We start from the raw sequence: 15,310 nt of genomic DNA, 5'->3' as shown, positions 1-15,310 counted from the left end.
TATACTATGCTACACAATGCTAAACTTTACTATACAATGCTATATTACACTATACTGTACTATATTATGCTATACTATGCACGCTATACTATATTACATTATACCACACTATATTATGCTACATGATACTACACTATGCCATGCTATACTATACCACATTATATTATGCTACACTATACTACGCTGTGCTACACTATGCTATATTATACTCTTATACCATACTGTAGTATATGATCCTACACTATACAGTACTGTGCTATGCTACACTATATTATACTGTGCCTGACTATATTATGCTACACTATACTACACTGTGCTATATTATACTATACCACACTACATTATGCTACACGAAACTACATTATGCTACACTATACCATACAATGCTATCTTATACTATACTGTACTATATTATGCTACACTATGCTACACTATGCTACATTATAGTATACCACAGTATATTACATTAAACGATACTACACCATGCTACACTATACTATACAATGCTATCTTACACCATACTGTACTATATTATGCTACACTATGCTACGCTATGCTACATTATAGTATACCACAGTATATTACATTAAACGATACTACACCATGCTACACTATACCATACAATGCTATCTTACACTATACTGTACTGTATTATGCTACACTATGCTACGCTATGCTACACTATACTATACCACAGTATATTACATTAAACCATACTACACCATGCTACACTATACCATACAATGCTATCTTACACTATACTGTACTGTATTATGCTACACTATGCTATGCTATGCTACATTATAGTATACCACAGTATATGACATTAAATGATACTACACCATGCTACACTATACTATACAATGCTATCTTATACTATACTGTGCTGTACTATGCTACGCTATGCTAGATTCCACTATACCACACTATAGTATGCTTCACTGCACTACACTATACCACACTACATGACACTACACTACACTACACTCTATGATGCTGTACTACATTGCACTGCATTACTCTATGCTGCTCTGCTCTATAGTGACCACACTACTCCACACCGCACCATACTGTACTCTTCTTTCATAGCACGTCTCCAGTGCAGAAGAAGGAACAAGGTCTGGAGTCAGGAATGGACACGCGCATGATTTAAGGCAGGCCTCACCTCCCTCTGCACCTGCCTTTTATCTATCAAACAGGGACCGTAACATGTCTCTCATCTGTGGGCCAGAGCTGTTATAGTGACCAGATGTAGTCTGAGAAGCCACTTCGAGAAGTGTGAGGCTCCGTCCGCAGAGCCCTGTGATCCTTCAAACTGTGTACGTCGGAATTCACTGAACATCATCTATCTATTGGGTGACTGTCTCACTGACCCCCTCTCTCTTCTTTCCTCTTTTTCTTCAATACTGTTTGACCAAATTAGGAAAGGTTTGAACCCCATTTTTTAAAATCTGAGGTGGCCACAGCAGCTGCCCCAGCCCCACACCTGTCTGGCCCTGTTGTGGAGCTGGCTGCACTGCCCTCGCATGTTACCGCTGACGTTTCTGTGGAGCCTCCGGCCTGCACAAGCACATAGGGTGTGACAGGCTCCTGAGGCTGCCATCGCGGAGGACCGCAAACCTTACATGCGGCTTAAAACAACAGAAATGTCCTCCCTCACAATCCCAGGGTCCAGAGGCCTGAAATCAAGGTGTTGGCAGGGCCCTGTTCCCTCGGAGGCTCTGGATGGAATGTCCCCTCAACCTTCCCAGCTTCTGTGGCTGCCGTCGGTCCTGGGAGTCACCAGGCTTGCAGCTGCACGGTTCCCATCTCTGCCTATAGTGCTATGCTATACTATATTATATCATATTGGACTACACTATATTATGCTATGCTATACTGCACTGTGCTATACAACACTACACTATACGATACTATGCTGTACTACACTACACCACGCCATACTATATTATACCCTACCACACTGTATTATGCCACACTATGTTGTGTCATTGTGTCATATTCTACTGTACTTGGTATAGCACTTGGTAGAGTGCAGTGTAGTATAACAGCATGCTGTGGCATTGCCGTTACATGGCCTTCTCTCTGTGTGTCCATGCGCTCTTCCCTCCTTAGCAAACACAGTCATTGGATTAAGGGCCCATGTAAAGACCTCATATTAACTTGAGCATATCTGGAAAGACCCTATGCCCAAATAAAGTCACATTCATAGGTACTGGCATCAGGATGTCAGCATAGTTTTAGGGGGACATGATTCAACCCACAACACTGAGAGATTATCCCAGAAGCACCTCTGTCGTCCCCTGTCCCTAGAAACACTGTCACCCTGACAGGATAGGTGCCCCTGGGGAGGGGAGGCAAGCACCCTGTGGCTTTCCTCCAGGTAGGAAGGAAGCAGTGGGTGACAGTAGTTTGTCCACTTTGGGGGAGGCCACCCATCTCGGTGGGTCTTCCTTTCCTCATCTGTACGTGTTCACCCCCCACATGAACCAGCAGAGGTGCTTAAGAAGCAAAGGAACTAATTACAGAAAAAGGAGTCACAAGTCTCAAGACCTAGTTAACATGGGAGGAGTTGGGTGGAGGGACCGGCTTGGTGGCCATTCACCTACAAGCTCATGGAAGCTTCGGTCAGTGATGACAGTGATAAGAGGGACCAGGTGGGAGACAGCCCACCATGGAGAGCAGGGAGGGCACTGCGTCGTGCTGCCACCTGCCCCACAGCATCCCAGGACCACCTCCAGGGTGGGTTTCCAGCAGGTTGGATGCTCTCGATGGAAGGACACCAGATGCTGCCACGTTGGGTTTCACTGTGCACAACAGACCCACAGACCAACTTCCTACCGGGGAAGAGCACGGGGAGAAGGTGGGGAGTTGGGTTTCCTGCATCTGGCTGCAGTGGGGAGCACCTGCACCTTTCCTGCATGGGGTCATGTGCTGTGCTGTTGCATTTCCAACAGGTACAGCCAGTTGCATGAGCAAACCTTGTAGTGGACGAAGCAAAGGAAACGGATCATGGTTTTGCCATCTTGATGACTGCCGTTCTGTGTGTACACATCTGGAAATGTGCTAGTCACACCATTTATTTAACTCCTAGAACTTTAACAAACTCTGCTGTCAAGTTAAAGTAACTGTTCATCTTCTAAGAGATTCACTCAGGGCTGGCCAGGTCAGCTAGAACACTGAGTCCTTGCAGAACAAACTGCTACTGAGATGGAGACCCCTTCCCCAGCCCACAGCCGGTAAAAAACCAAACACAACTGGAAGACTGTGGACGTCACTGCATTTGGGATGGAGGGAGGAGCATCCAGCTAGTGGTCCACAAGGAAACAGCATCTCTCCAAAACCAGGGACACGGCAGCAGGCCCGACACGACCTCCACAACCTCGGCCGCAGCAGGCATCGATCAGGGGCCTCTGCAGCGTGCTTGGCCACTGCGTGGTGGCAGGAAGACTGGACCCTCGATTCACTTTGCTTCTGGACGTCCTGGTGGCTAATGAGATGGTAGCATTTCCTCCACTGGTAAGCACCAGCAGCAGGGCACTGTTGAGAGGACAATGGTCCTTCCACGCCGGCTTCATACTCCCCTGTGGACTCCCTACACCTCCATCCACTGACAGCCTGAGAATGGTCATATGTGTGCACACTAGACAAGCTAAAGCTACCTCGCTGTGGGTAAGACGGTGGACTCTGATGTCGTATCCAAGTTCAAATCTCTACCCACTGTGTCCCTGCTGTGATGGGGAAGTTGGTCTCCCCGTCTTCGCCATGGGAGCACTGTCATGCTGACCCCGCTGTGCTGATGTGGTAAGTGCTGAGATAACACCAAGTCAAGGACATGGCCGAGCATCTGGTGCTTGGAAGAGCCAGAAGGACAGTGGACATTAGGGTCCTCACTATCATCGTCCTGCCCCCACCCCACCATCCGTTTGCCCTTCTGATGGGCGCCTGCTCCTCTCCTGACAGGTGCAGCCACTAAGCAGCCCTGTCAGGAGGTGGAGGGCAGGAGGAAGGAGTGCCAAGAGTGTTCTCCTCCCAGGCCACCCCCGACTCAGGGGCACAGCCAATCCCAGTGCGGGGCATCTCCTCCGGCTGAGCTCCCGTGGGACAGCTTCACAGTCCTGCTCCCACGAGGGACATCCCTGCACCCCACTCTAGCACTTGCTGGTCTCTATGTGACCCCCTGCTAAGAACCTGCTTCGAGTTCTTAGCTCTTCCACACTCATGTGAGAAAATGCTCCGGATTAATCTCTTCCTGCCATGAGCACTCAGGATGGCTTTCTGATTGGACCCGAATCAGTACTGGGCGTAGTCTTCTCTCTAGAAACCAAAGGTCCTGCAGTCTTGAAGGTCTCCATCCCCGGAGAGTGAGGTGAGGCTCAGTGATACAAGGCGCCCTCGCAGGGGTGGCCATGGTGGGTCTGCAGTCTCTGCCAGACTACAGTGTCGGCAATCAGCCCTCAGAGCCCTCGGAGCCCTCAGGGCCCTTGGCCACCAGGAGGCCCTGACTAGGCAGATGGAGTCTTTGTTACAGAGCTGGGCCCAAGGGGAGGGGCAGATGTGTGCCGGGGACTGAGGGCTGCGGAACCACCCTGGAAGCAAATATTTATTTCTGCAACAATCTCCATTCCCCAGAGTGCAGATAAGATTAGTGTAGCACTGCAGATAAAGAAAAATCGAATTTCACCTGTTGCCCTTGGCCCCACCTAGGCTCAGCCCCTACCCATCTCAGCCACAGGGGCAACCCTTGTGCAGGTGGAGCCCAATGGCCTCCCCCACTGCCCCAACAGAGCTGCTCGTGCAGCCATCAGCAACGCAGCTCCCACTGCTGAGAACAGCCGCCTGCTAAAGACCTCGGAAAAGCCAGAGGAAAAATGCAGGCAGACAGGAACCGAGGCAGCCGGGCAGCTGGGCAGACCTGGGCAGAGTGGGCGGTGACGCTGCAGTGGCACAGGAGGGCCTCTTGTGTGTCCCCCCAACCATCCAACGTGCTCTGCTCATTGCCCCTGCAGACAGGACAGGACCTGCTCGGGCCCCACTCATGCACAGCAGGCTCTTCCTTGGAGCCATCCTCCCCGGGCTCTCGGGGGTTCCTCTCAGCCTCCCTGGGAGCTCCTTCCAGCTCATTGGTGGCTTCTCTGTCACGCTGGCGAGCACTGCATCCCCCACCCCTGGCAGGGCTCCCTTTTCTCCTCTCTCCCTGACATCTCCCTACCACCCACTACCATGGCTTCAGTCTCCACCCATTGCCTTCTCCTAAACTTATGTCCCTTTCTTTTCTTTCTTTCTTCTTCTGTTTTTTTTTAGACAGTTTTGCTCTTGTCACCCAGGCTGGAGTGCAGTGGCGTGATCTCGGCCCCCGCAGCCTCCAGCTCCCAAGTTCAAGCGATTCTCCTGCCTCAGCCTCCAGTGTAGCTGGGATTACAGGTGTCCACCACCACCCCCGGCTAATCTTTGTATTTTTGGTAGAGAAGGGGTTTCACCATGTTGGCCAGGCTGGTTTCAAACTCCTGACCCTCGGGTGATCCACCCATCTCGGCCTCCCAAAGTGCTGGGATTACAGGCGTGAGCCACCGCGCCCAGTCTAAACTTATTTTCAACCCAAATCTTTCCCCCGGGCCCCACTGTGTATTCCCAGGTACCTTCCTATTGAATATCTCCAACCAATTACCCCTTAGACTCATCCAACTTCATCTACCCGAGATGGAGCCCACCCATTCTATGCACCCACATCTGACATGGCTCTCCCTCCCCTGCCTTCTGCACCAGGAGATGCCTGCTCATCCCAAGCCGCTCATGCCGGGACAGGATGTCCTCTCACCACTTTCTCTCACGTGCCCTCACATCCAAGCCCTGTCCCACTCGCGCCAGGCCACATCTGCAGCAAATCCACTTCTCTGCAACATGGTGCTCCAGCCCCAGCCACATCCTTGCTTCCTACCAGGCCACACCAGCTGCCTCCCCGCTGTCTCCCCACCGCTGGGCTTCCCCTGCACCCACGTTATATTTAATACAAGAGCCAGGTGTTCTTTCCAACACCAAAACCAGGTGAGTTTACTGGCTGAGCCCTTCCTGGTCTGTCGCGGACGTGGTCCAGGACTCCCTCCCCACTGTGTTTCTCCCCTCCTGGGCTCCTTACTCACTAAGCCCCCACACCTGGCCCAGGGCAGGCACCGTTAGCAGAGCTGAAGGCTCAGCTTGTGGGCTTGGGGGCTGGCTCAGAAAAGGCAACGTGAGCACACCCACATCTTTGCCTATTTCAGAAGAGGAATTCAGGGCTTTGCAGCCTAAAGCCATCAGACCCAAGAGGACATCCACAGGGATTCTTATCCTTGAAGACGCAGAAGCCCCACCTCATCGCTTGAGGCAGTGAAGGGGAAACCCACCTGCCAGGCACCTGCAGGCTTCCGCTGGCCCCCTTCACTCCCCTCTCCATCCAGTAGTCTTGAGTTCTAAGGATCCTCACAGGTCATAGCTCCAAGCACTCAAGAGAATGGAGGTGTGGGGATCCCAGGCAAAGAAACCACCTGGTGTCACTGAGAGAAGCAGAGGAGGTGGGCAGGGGCCCGGAGTCCCAGACGAACAGACAACCGCGAGGATGTGGGGTCTGAGTGCTCTCCTCATGATCAAACACACTAAACTGTCACCAGAAGACTCCATTCTTAGGCCTGGCTGTGTCACCAACCAGCCAGGTCACTAGGCAGGTCTCCCTGCCCCTCTGGACACAGCTGCCTCTCCTGGCAGAGCTGTGGGTCGAGTTGGAAGCTCACACGGCCCCTTTTGGCTCTGACACTCCACTGTCTGTGAGTCACTCTGGGTTCCGGTGGTTTGTCACTGGGGCTCACAGGGAAACCAAAGAAAGAACAATCGCAGCCCAGGGTAGCGAGTTCATGGGCGCCGGGTCCAGGGCTTGCGTAAGGAGGCCCAGTGACCTTCAGCACCGCGGTGACTCAAGGCGGTACTTTTCCACTGCTGGCAGGCACAAGCCCTCTAACGTGTGGCACCGGCACCTGCATTAAAACAATGTTTTGATGATGTTGCAGGGCTTAGATCCACCCTCAAACATGAAAACAAATAAGAGTCCGGGCCTGATGTTGTCGGAGCAATTCCCTGGATTCCTTGTCGAGTCGAGTCCTGCACGGAGGGACGGTCAGGGCTCGCTGGTTACCCGGCCTTGAGTCACCAGCAGCCTTCTCCCAGAGCCTCTGATTCATGGGCATGTTATTTGGGGAAAGAGTCACAAAGCCATCACCGGCTCCTTCCTCTTGTTCCTCCCAGCTCCACACTTGGCCATCACGGAGTGTTTTTGTTTCGCTGCAGTAATCCAGATAAGCCCTAATTGTTTTCGGATATCCCAAATGAGAGGCATTAAACCATCAGAATTTTCTGCATTCAATGTGTAGGACTAAGTGGCAATTCCTTACAGAATGGGCTTAGGTTCCAGATTCATCTGAAAACAAAACACTTCTAGCTCTGACCCCTGCGGAACAATAAAATCATGTTTTCAGTGTTCCCCTAGGGCCTGGCCAGATCCTCAGGTATCCTCAAAGAATCTGTCCTCCACATCATTTCTGCTCCTGAAGTCGGGGCAGACGGGTTCACCAGCCAACATCCTCTACCGAATCCTGGTTGACCAGCACACTTTTCCTCCCACTGTTTGTAGGTAGAACTTTCCTAGGCCACGCTCACTCTGCTGGCCGTGGACTATGCTCTTTGATGGCAAGGGCAGTCACGTGAGCGTGATGCACGGGGCCTCTGCCATCAGACCCCCCTGTTCCAACCCTGGTGCCCCTGTTCTGCCTGAGGTCAGCAAAATGGGGCACTCACGAATCCTACTTTAGAGGGTTTTCTTCTGAGTACTTAGTGAGTATTCATGTAGAGAAATTAGCCCAGCTCCTTCCCCACAAGGACCTTAACAATCCTGTCCATGATTGTCATCCAGGACAAACTGCTGCTTACTTATAACCAGAAGAGTTAGAACTCGTTCTGAACCTCCTGAGGCCAAACTGCCACAAAATTCCAAACAAATAAAATGTGAATGAATATTTGAAGACAGGGTCTTGGAAGCCCGACTCTTTAAGAGCTTGCTTTTAAGTGAAATATGTACACACACACACACACAAAGTGGAGAGAGGGGGTAAAGCAAAGATGTCCTTGAAACTTAAATCATGCGGCTTTTCCGTCCAAGAAAAACACAGGTCTTCCCTTGACATTTGGAGGCAGTTCCTTGTCTCTATTCCCCCACCCTCTTCTCTGGCATTTCTTTGAGAATAGACTGAAGAAAGGGGCTGTAATGCAGCTATAAATCCAGGTTGTATGCATTAGTAGTATTTGGAGCAGGGGGGATCTCGAGAGAAAGAATCCTGCAGAACTGTGGGCCCAGATGAATAAAAATGTCTTTCTAACTGTTTGGCTACCAAACCAAATAGAAATTAAATGTTCACCCTCCCAGATCTTCCACTTTACTTCGAGAAGCTTTTTGTTGCTCCTGTTTTGGAACCCACCACATTACGTTCAAATGGCACACAAGTGGGTCCCACTCATCGAATACCGTGACCCTGTGTATTCACTGAAGGTCAGCTTCACATAACTCCGAAATAGCAACACCGAAAATCTGAAATGATGGCATCTGAGTTATTTTATATCAAAAGTTACACTTCTTCTTGGAATTGAAGGGGAAAACATCAATAGATTCAACATAAAAACATAAAATTTTGTACATCATCAAAATGTAACATTTAAAAAAATTAAATAGGAATCTTGAGAAGTGCTTGTAATACATGTAGTAAAGAAAGGTGATACGCCAAACTACAAAAGTTACAGAAAAAAAACCACTAAGAGGCAGACAGAAAAATAGAAAAGGCAGCTAAATGGACAGAAAAGGAAATAAAAATCGCTAATAAAAAATTAACTGCATTAGTATAAAAGAAGTACAGTTAAAATAGCAAAGTGGTGTTTTTGCCTATCAAATTAGCCAGGGAATGTTAGGGGTGTGTACACAGCCCTACAGAGGGCTGGTAAGGTATGCTGGCGGGAACATAAATTTATTTAACCTTTCTGCAAAATAATGGACTCACATTAATCACAGACCTTGAAACAACACCCTTGCACTTTGGTACACTAGCTCTAGTGAGAGTAATTTATCTGAATGAACCAAGGAAAAATTGTTAATAAAAACATAGTATTTTGTTGACCAAGACAGGTATCAAAACCTCATTTGTAATAGCAAACATGTGAAATCAAAAAAGCATACCCAAATCATGAAATATTATTAAATCACTTTAAAACCCTGCTTACAAATAATCTTTAAGAGTAGAGGAAAATTATATGACAATACCAGAAGTAAAAATAGAAAAGGAAGAATATTAAATTTTAATAGTCTATAAGCTCAACCATTTAAAAATAGGAATAGGGAAAAGACTGAGGGGAATATATTCATATATCGGAGTAGTCATTTCCATGATCCTCATTTTATTTCTTTTTCTCATTTAAAAAGTTGCTATATTTTTAAAATATTCAATTATAAGCATAGATTCTTTTCCAAATAATTAAAAGGTTTTTGAAGCTATTCTATTCTACAGGAATTCTGAATGTGCTAAAACACTGGTGTAAGGTGAATCCAAAGAGTTGTAAGAAACAAACGCTGCTTCCAGACGTGCACAGGTGAATCCAACATGCGTGCACTTCCAACCTCGTGCATGATTCACCAGCCACCTGTCACTGTGGGGCCTGCCAGCCTTCACCTCACACACCTCCGTGACACGGTGCACTCAGCCACACGCATCTGTCTCCTGCACTAGACACACGGCTCTCAGGGAATATGTCTTATTTCTCCTTGTATCTCCAGGGCCGAGCAGGGTTTGTGCAATGCAGTAAACACTTAATAAATATTTGTTGAATAAATCAATGGCATATACCAGGCATTAAATAACTTCTTGTTGAATAACTCGAAACAAGAACTGTCGGGACCATGACCAGGGCAGCTCCACAGAGCTGATGGGGATTCGTGATCTTCAGCTGGGCCATTTCTGAGTCAGGGGTTTAGAACACACCCCATGGATTGGACAGGTGTCCGGTGGGCAGCAGGGACTCCTCCTCCTTCCCAGCCTACTCCTCCCTCTTGACCCCACACCTGCTCACAGGGTCAGTGGGCCCCTCAGCCCATCACAGGGCCGACTTCATGCCAGCCAGAAAGTTAAAGACTTCCCACAGGATGAGGTCCCAGACCTCCCTGGGATGACAGAGGATGACCAGCCCCACAGCACACCCCAGGCTGCTCCACAAAGCTGGTTTGGAGAGAAGCTTGTGAGGAAGAAGCACAGTTCGGTGACTGCAGCTGGACAGCGGTGTTCTCCAGCGTGCCACATCCCCATGGTCCCTTGCTGGCTCAGGAAATCCCTGCAGCTCCCTTAAATGAAGAATTCTACACAGAAGGACCCATCCTTGCCATGAGAAATTTAGACATCTAGGCTGATAATAACATTTTAAGTCTAGTCCATTCTAATTAAAAAAAAGGACCATGATGATTAAATTCCTACTCACAGAAAATTTAGAAAGCAAGCCATGAAAAACAAGCTCTTCGTTTCCTTACTGATTAGATCAAGGAAAGATACTAACAAGCAGTGGGGAAGTTTCATTTTGTTAGAGGACAGGACATTTTACGAAAATCTTAGAGCCCTTCTGCAGAGCTAAGGTGAGAAAAGACACAGTAATTTTCGCCTTGTTGCCATCCCACAGGCGTACATTTTTTCAGCAAGGTCAAGTATGACTCCCTGATACACGCAGTCTAGTAGTTTGGTGGCTAACAGGCAGTTAAGTGAAGGCTTTTGCTTAAGAGGAAGTATCTGGAACATACTTAAACTAGAGCATGTAACGTGTCTGCCTTTTTTTCATTTTTCTAAGGAAGAAGTAGCATTGTTGTCATATAATAAAAAGCAATTGCACAGGCCTGATATTCAAACTCAATTTCACATCAGCATCTCCTAATTCCTTATCCTGTGTTATATACCAACAATGCCCCTTCCCCACCTCCCACCTGACCCCTCACACCCTTTTTTTAAATACTGTAAAAGGCCCCCTTGTCAAAAGTCAGAAAATGCCAAGTCCAGGCTGAAGCTGGGCAATCTATAGTCTTGAAAAAGAAATTTCTAAGGCAACACAATGCCAAGAGTCCAGGAACATCAGCCTTAGCTGTGAATTTCCTCAGTTTGAGTGAGTTCCCAAAAATATCACTGACAAGAGCTCTTCAGTGCTTGAGAAAGTTAGATCACGAAAGATGGGGAAAAGCCTCTATTTTCTCCCTTCGCTGATTCCTGAATCCTCCTTTGAATCTTTGGAAAATAGTTTTGCAGATGACCTGAGAAACATGATGCAGATACTTTTCAAAACAATCTCTGGGAAACTTCATGCAGATAAAAGAAGGAAACCACCAGGTCTTACAAAGGAACATCGCTGAAGTCACCAGCAGCAACTTGAGACTACCTGCTGTATTTGAACTAGCTGGTTCTACGGAAGAGGCAAGAACAGAAAATGACACAGCACTCATGCCCTCAGAAATTTGACCAGAGGCCAGGTGCAGCGACTCATGCCTGTAATCCCAGCACTTTGGGAGGCCAAGGCGGGTGAATCATTTCAGGTCAGGAGCTCGAGACCAGCCTGGCCAATACGGTGAAACCCAGTCTCTACTAAAAATACAAAAAAAAAAAAAAAAAAAAACCCAGCTGGGCATGGTGGTATGTGTCTGTAATCCCAGCTACTTGAGAGGCTGATGCAGGAGAATTGCTTGAACCCAGGAGGCGGAAGTTGCAGTGAGCAGAGATCCCACTGCTGTACTCCAGCCTGGGCAACAGAGCAAGAGTCTGTCTTGAAAAGGAAAGAAAGAAAGAAAGGAAGAAAGAAAGAAAGAAAGAAGAGAGAGAGAGAGAGAGGGAGGGAGGGAGGGAGAGAAGGAAGGAAGGAAGGAAGGAAAGAAGGAAGGAAAGAAAGAGAAGGAAGGAAGGAAGGAAAGAGAAAGAAGAAACAAAGAAAGAGAAAGAAAGAAAGAGGGAGTGAGGGAGGGGAAAAAGGAATGAAGGAAGGAAAGAGGGAAAGAAAGAAAGAAAGAAAGAAAGAAAGAAAGAAAGAAAGAAAGAAAGAAAGAAAGAAAGAAAGAAAGAAAAAATTTGCCCAGAGTATAGAATAACTAGAATAGAGAATTTTAGGAAAGACTTAGTCCTTATGAAGGATCAAGGGAGAGATCGGACCCATCAAGTTCTACACAACGGACAGTTCTGCCTCCTCCCGCCGCCAAGTGGCACCCAGCACGGAGATACCCAAAAAGCGCCCGTTTCCTCGTCCTGCTCAGCATCCTGCCTACAGCCCCAGGATGCGCCTCCACCTTCAACACAACATTTACAGCTGACAGGGGCTTTGCAGGAAACGATACAATCTGGACGAACCTTTTCAGGAAGATCAAAGCGGCCCATGTTAGCAGAAGAGCGTTTTGATCGGAACCACGAGTTTGGAATCGCGCTGGCGATAGTGTTCTTGCCGTGCGCCAGCTAATGCTGACAGACAGAGGGCGGTTTATCCACGGTAGCCGGGTAGAGGGGACATGCAAGGGCGTTAGGGAAAGACTTCCTTGGAGTCCTGGTGTCACTAAGGATACGGCGAACCGCGTCATCTTAGCCCAGTGCCTTGGACCCTTGAACTTCTGTCTCTGCATCCTATGAGGAGGTTAAAAAAGATAATCCACCTGTCAGGGTTGTGAGGATGAAACACAGCAGCGTGCGGGGAAAGCTTGTGAAAATGTCCTCAGGACGTCCCCGGTGAAGGGCTTCACCCTAACACCTAGTGCAGCGGCAGAGTTGAGTGGATCACAGCTGCCGAAACGCACAGGGAAAGGTCCCTGCGGAGGCTCCTGGGTGGCCCAAAGGGATGAGAGCGCAGAAGGGAACCCGGGGACACGCCTTCTGAATGAAGCAGAGTAAAAGTTGTTGACACCAGCATCGGAACCCAGGGCACCGTTCTCACACCCCTAACAACCGCGGCCAAGGAAGCCAGAGTCAAGGCTAAAGTGTCACTGGTAGAGGGCTGTGACTGCAAGTTGTCCAGGTTCTTGGCGTTTTGAACAAAGAATTGGACAAGGCCAGGCGCCGTGGCTCTCACCTGTAATCCCAGCACTTTGGGAGGCCGAGGTGGGTGGATCACCTGAGATCAGGAGTTCGAGACCAGCCTGGCCAACATGGTGAAACCCTATCTCTACTAAAAATACTGAAATTAGCCGGGCATGGTGGCAGGCGCCTGTAGTCCGAGCTACTCGGGAGGCTGAGACAGGAGAATCGCTTGAACCCAGGAGGCAGAGGTTGCAGTGAGCTGCGATCATGCCACTGCACTCCAGCCCGGGCGACAGAGTGAGACTCTGTCTTAAAAAAAAAAAAAAAAAAAAGATTTGGACAAAACGCCCAGCAAAGCAAAGAAAGAATGAACCAACAAAAGAACAAAAGCAGGGATTTGTTGAAAACAAAAGTACGCTCCACAGTGCAGCGGCTCCAGAGCCCAGATACAGAATCTTCTTGGGTCCAAATACCCTCTAGGGGTTTCCCATTGGCCCCTTCCTGCTCACCTCATGTAAATGAGGTGGTAACCAGCCATCAGTCTGACAGGCTGTGGATAGCAACCATTCAGAGGCTAGAGTGAAGTTACAAAGTTGCAAACAAAGACTGGACCGGCAGTCAGCCTGATTTGTTGGGGACAGCCAGTTTCCCATCTGCCGCACAGAAAAGGTCAAAGGGAGTAGCCTCTGGTCCTTTTGTTATTTAGCATACAAAGCTAGGCTTCTCCTTTCAGTTTAGTTCTAGGAAGTCGTCGTGAAACAGCCTTAGGTCCTCTGCCTCCAGACCCTATTCTCCTGCCTCGGAAGGACTGTTCCCACACCATCTTGATAGGTTTTCACCTTCATTCCTGCAGAAGCTGCCCTGGATGAAGTAAACACTAGCAGCACCCAGTTCTCAAGCTCCATGAAGACCACACCTGGGCCCGTTCTGCTCCTACAAGCTCTGACCAGTAAAATGGCACCTTCCAGTACCCCAGGCTCAGATGGGATGCTGGTGTCCAGGGAGAGGTGAGCACTCATCTACTTTACTTTAGGAGAAAGAACAAGAATAATCTACTGAGCAAAACTGCTTCACCTGATGTCAGGCCTCACATGGCCCTTGCATGTTCTGTGATCCTACACGTCCCTCTAAAACATCTGCTGTGTGCCCAGGGCTACACTAGGTGCTGGATACCATAATGAAACCCAAAACACAGCCCCTGCATCCCAGGCAGATGGAGAAGAATGGCAGCGCGGTTAACGGGAGGGGCGTGTTCACAGCCCCGGAAATACTGCAAATACTGCAGCTACTTCCATCGCAGAACCGTGAGCTTGTTGCCCACTGACACGTAAGCTCCATGAGGGAGGGATTTTTTTACTGATGGATCTCAGAGTGTAGACGAGTATCTGGCGCACAGTAGGATCTTTGCAAATATGTGTTCAGTGGATACACGTATCGTCTTTTGCAAATTATCAAGCTACCTGGTGAATATTTTGGACCAGGAGTTCATGATCATAAAAAAGAGATTTCTAAAACACGTCTGTGCTTAAATGGGGGGAAACAAAAATTATCAACACATTTCCTGTTGAATGTAGGATCATTATTATGTACATTTTAGGTTAGAATGACCACAGCCTCTTGCACCCTAATTCCACCACCATCACCGTGAGAACTTTCTATTATCTTTTTGCATTTATCCTTACTGAAAGAACCCATGCCTGATACCAGACTGAACCATCGAGGTATCTTAACTCTATGTCTTAACTCATAAAAGAAACTGCCCCTGCCCCCTGCCCATCGTCATTTAATAAATCAACAGGTCTGTTTCAGTGGCCTGATGTGTAATGGCATTTATGAGCACTGGCGAAGTTATGAACACTTAACTGAAGCAATTAAGCCATGCCTTGCTCTTATTATTGTAAGAGATTGACTGGTGGTAATTTATTTTTTCCAATGCAGCTGACAAAAAGAGGTAATATTCATACTTACAGGTCATGCGGAATATGGGTATCAAAAAACCACTTCCTGTCATTGTTCATCACTGTGTTCTATTTTTCCTCTGAAAGGGATGGTGAAATATTCTCTTAACACAGATTTGGGTATATTTAGTGAGGCTTTCCTCAGAACCAGGTGCTGCCACGGAATCTCAGAATTCTTCTAGAAACCAGAGCTGGGGCTTTAGGGCCAGTCTCAGCTGAGCCTCTTCACTTATGGAGGAGAACACCAAGACCCATGTAAAG

General features: G+C 48.2%; 1 long non-coding RNA gene across 1 annotated transcript, besides 3 other annotated features; it reads right to left on the bottom strand.

The window, feature by feature from the left end:
• Nucleotides 1–3,042: 3,042 nt before the first annotated feature.
• LOC124901788 (uncharacterized) lies at nt 3,043–7,507 on the bottom strand. The gene is made up of 2 exons (XR_007060613.1): nt 6,384–7,507; nt 3,043–4,656 (listed from the first exon to the last, which is right to left on the bottom strand). It is a non-coding gene; the product is annotated as an uncharacterized LOC124901788 (long non-coding RNA).
• Nucleotides 3,576–4,304: an enhancer, noted in NCBI's record as "H3K4me1 hESC enhancer chr7:155747182-155747910 (GRCh37/hg19 assembly coordinates)". NCBI's record gives its function as "activates a minimal SCP1, AML or CMV promoter by ChIP-STARR-seq in primed H9 embryonic stem cells {active_cell/tissue: H9 hESC(primed)}" and the evidence as "EXISTENCE:reporter gene assay evidence [ECO:0000049][PMID:30033119]".
• Nucleotides 5,497–5,997: an enhancer, noted in NCBI's record as "H3K4me1 hESC enhancer chr7:155745489-155745989 (GRCh37/hg19 assembly coordinates)". NCBI's record gives its function as "activates a minimal SCP1, AML or CMV promoter by ChIP-STARR-seq in naive H9 embryonic stem cells {active_cell/tissue: H9 hESC(naive)}" and the evidence as "EXISTENCE:reporter gene assay evidence [ECO:0000049][PMID:30033119]".
• Nucleotides 6,383–7,582: an enhancer, noted in NCBI's record as "P300/CBP strongly-dependent group 1 enhancer chr7:155743904-155745103 (GRCh37/hg19 assembly coordinates)". NCBI's record gives its function as "activates an origin of replication core promoter dependent on BRD2, BRD4, P300/CBP, MED14 and CDK7 cofactors, with strong dependence on P300/CBP, by STARR-seq in HCT116 cells {active_cell/tissue: HCT116}" and the evidence as "EXISTENCE:reporter gene assay evidence [ECO:0000049][PMID:35650434]".

This window comes from Homo sapiens, chromosome 7 (assembly GCF_000001405.40).
Source record: "Homo sapiens chromosome 7, GRCh38.p14 Primary Assembly".
NCBI classification, from domain to species: Eukaryota; Metazoa; Chordata; class Mammalia; order Primates; family Hominidae; genus Homo; species Homo sapiens.
Note: the sequence above shows the minus strand (reverse complement) of the source record. Positions and strands in the feature narration are given on the sequence as shown.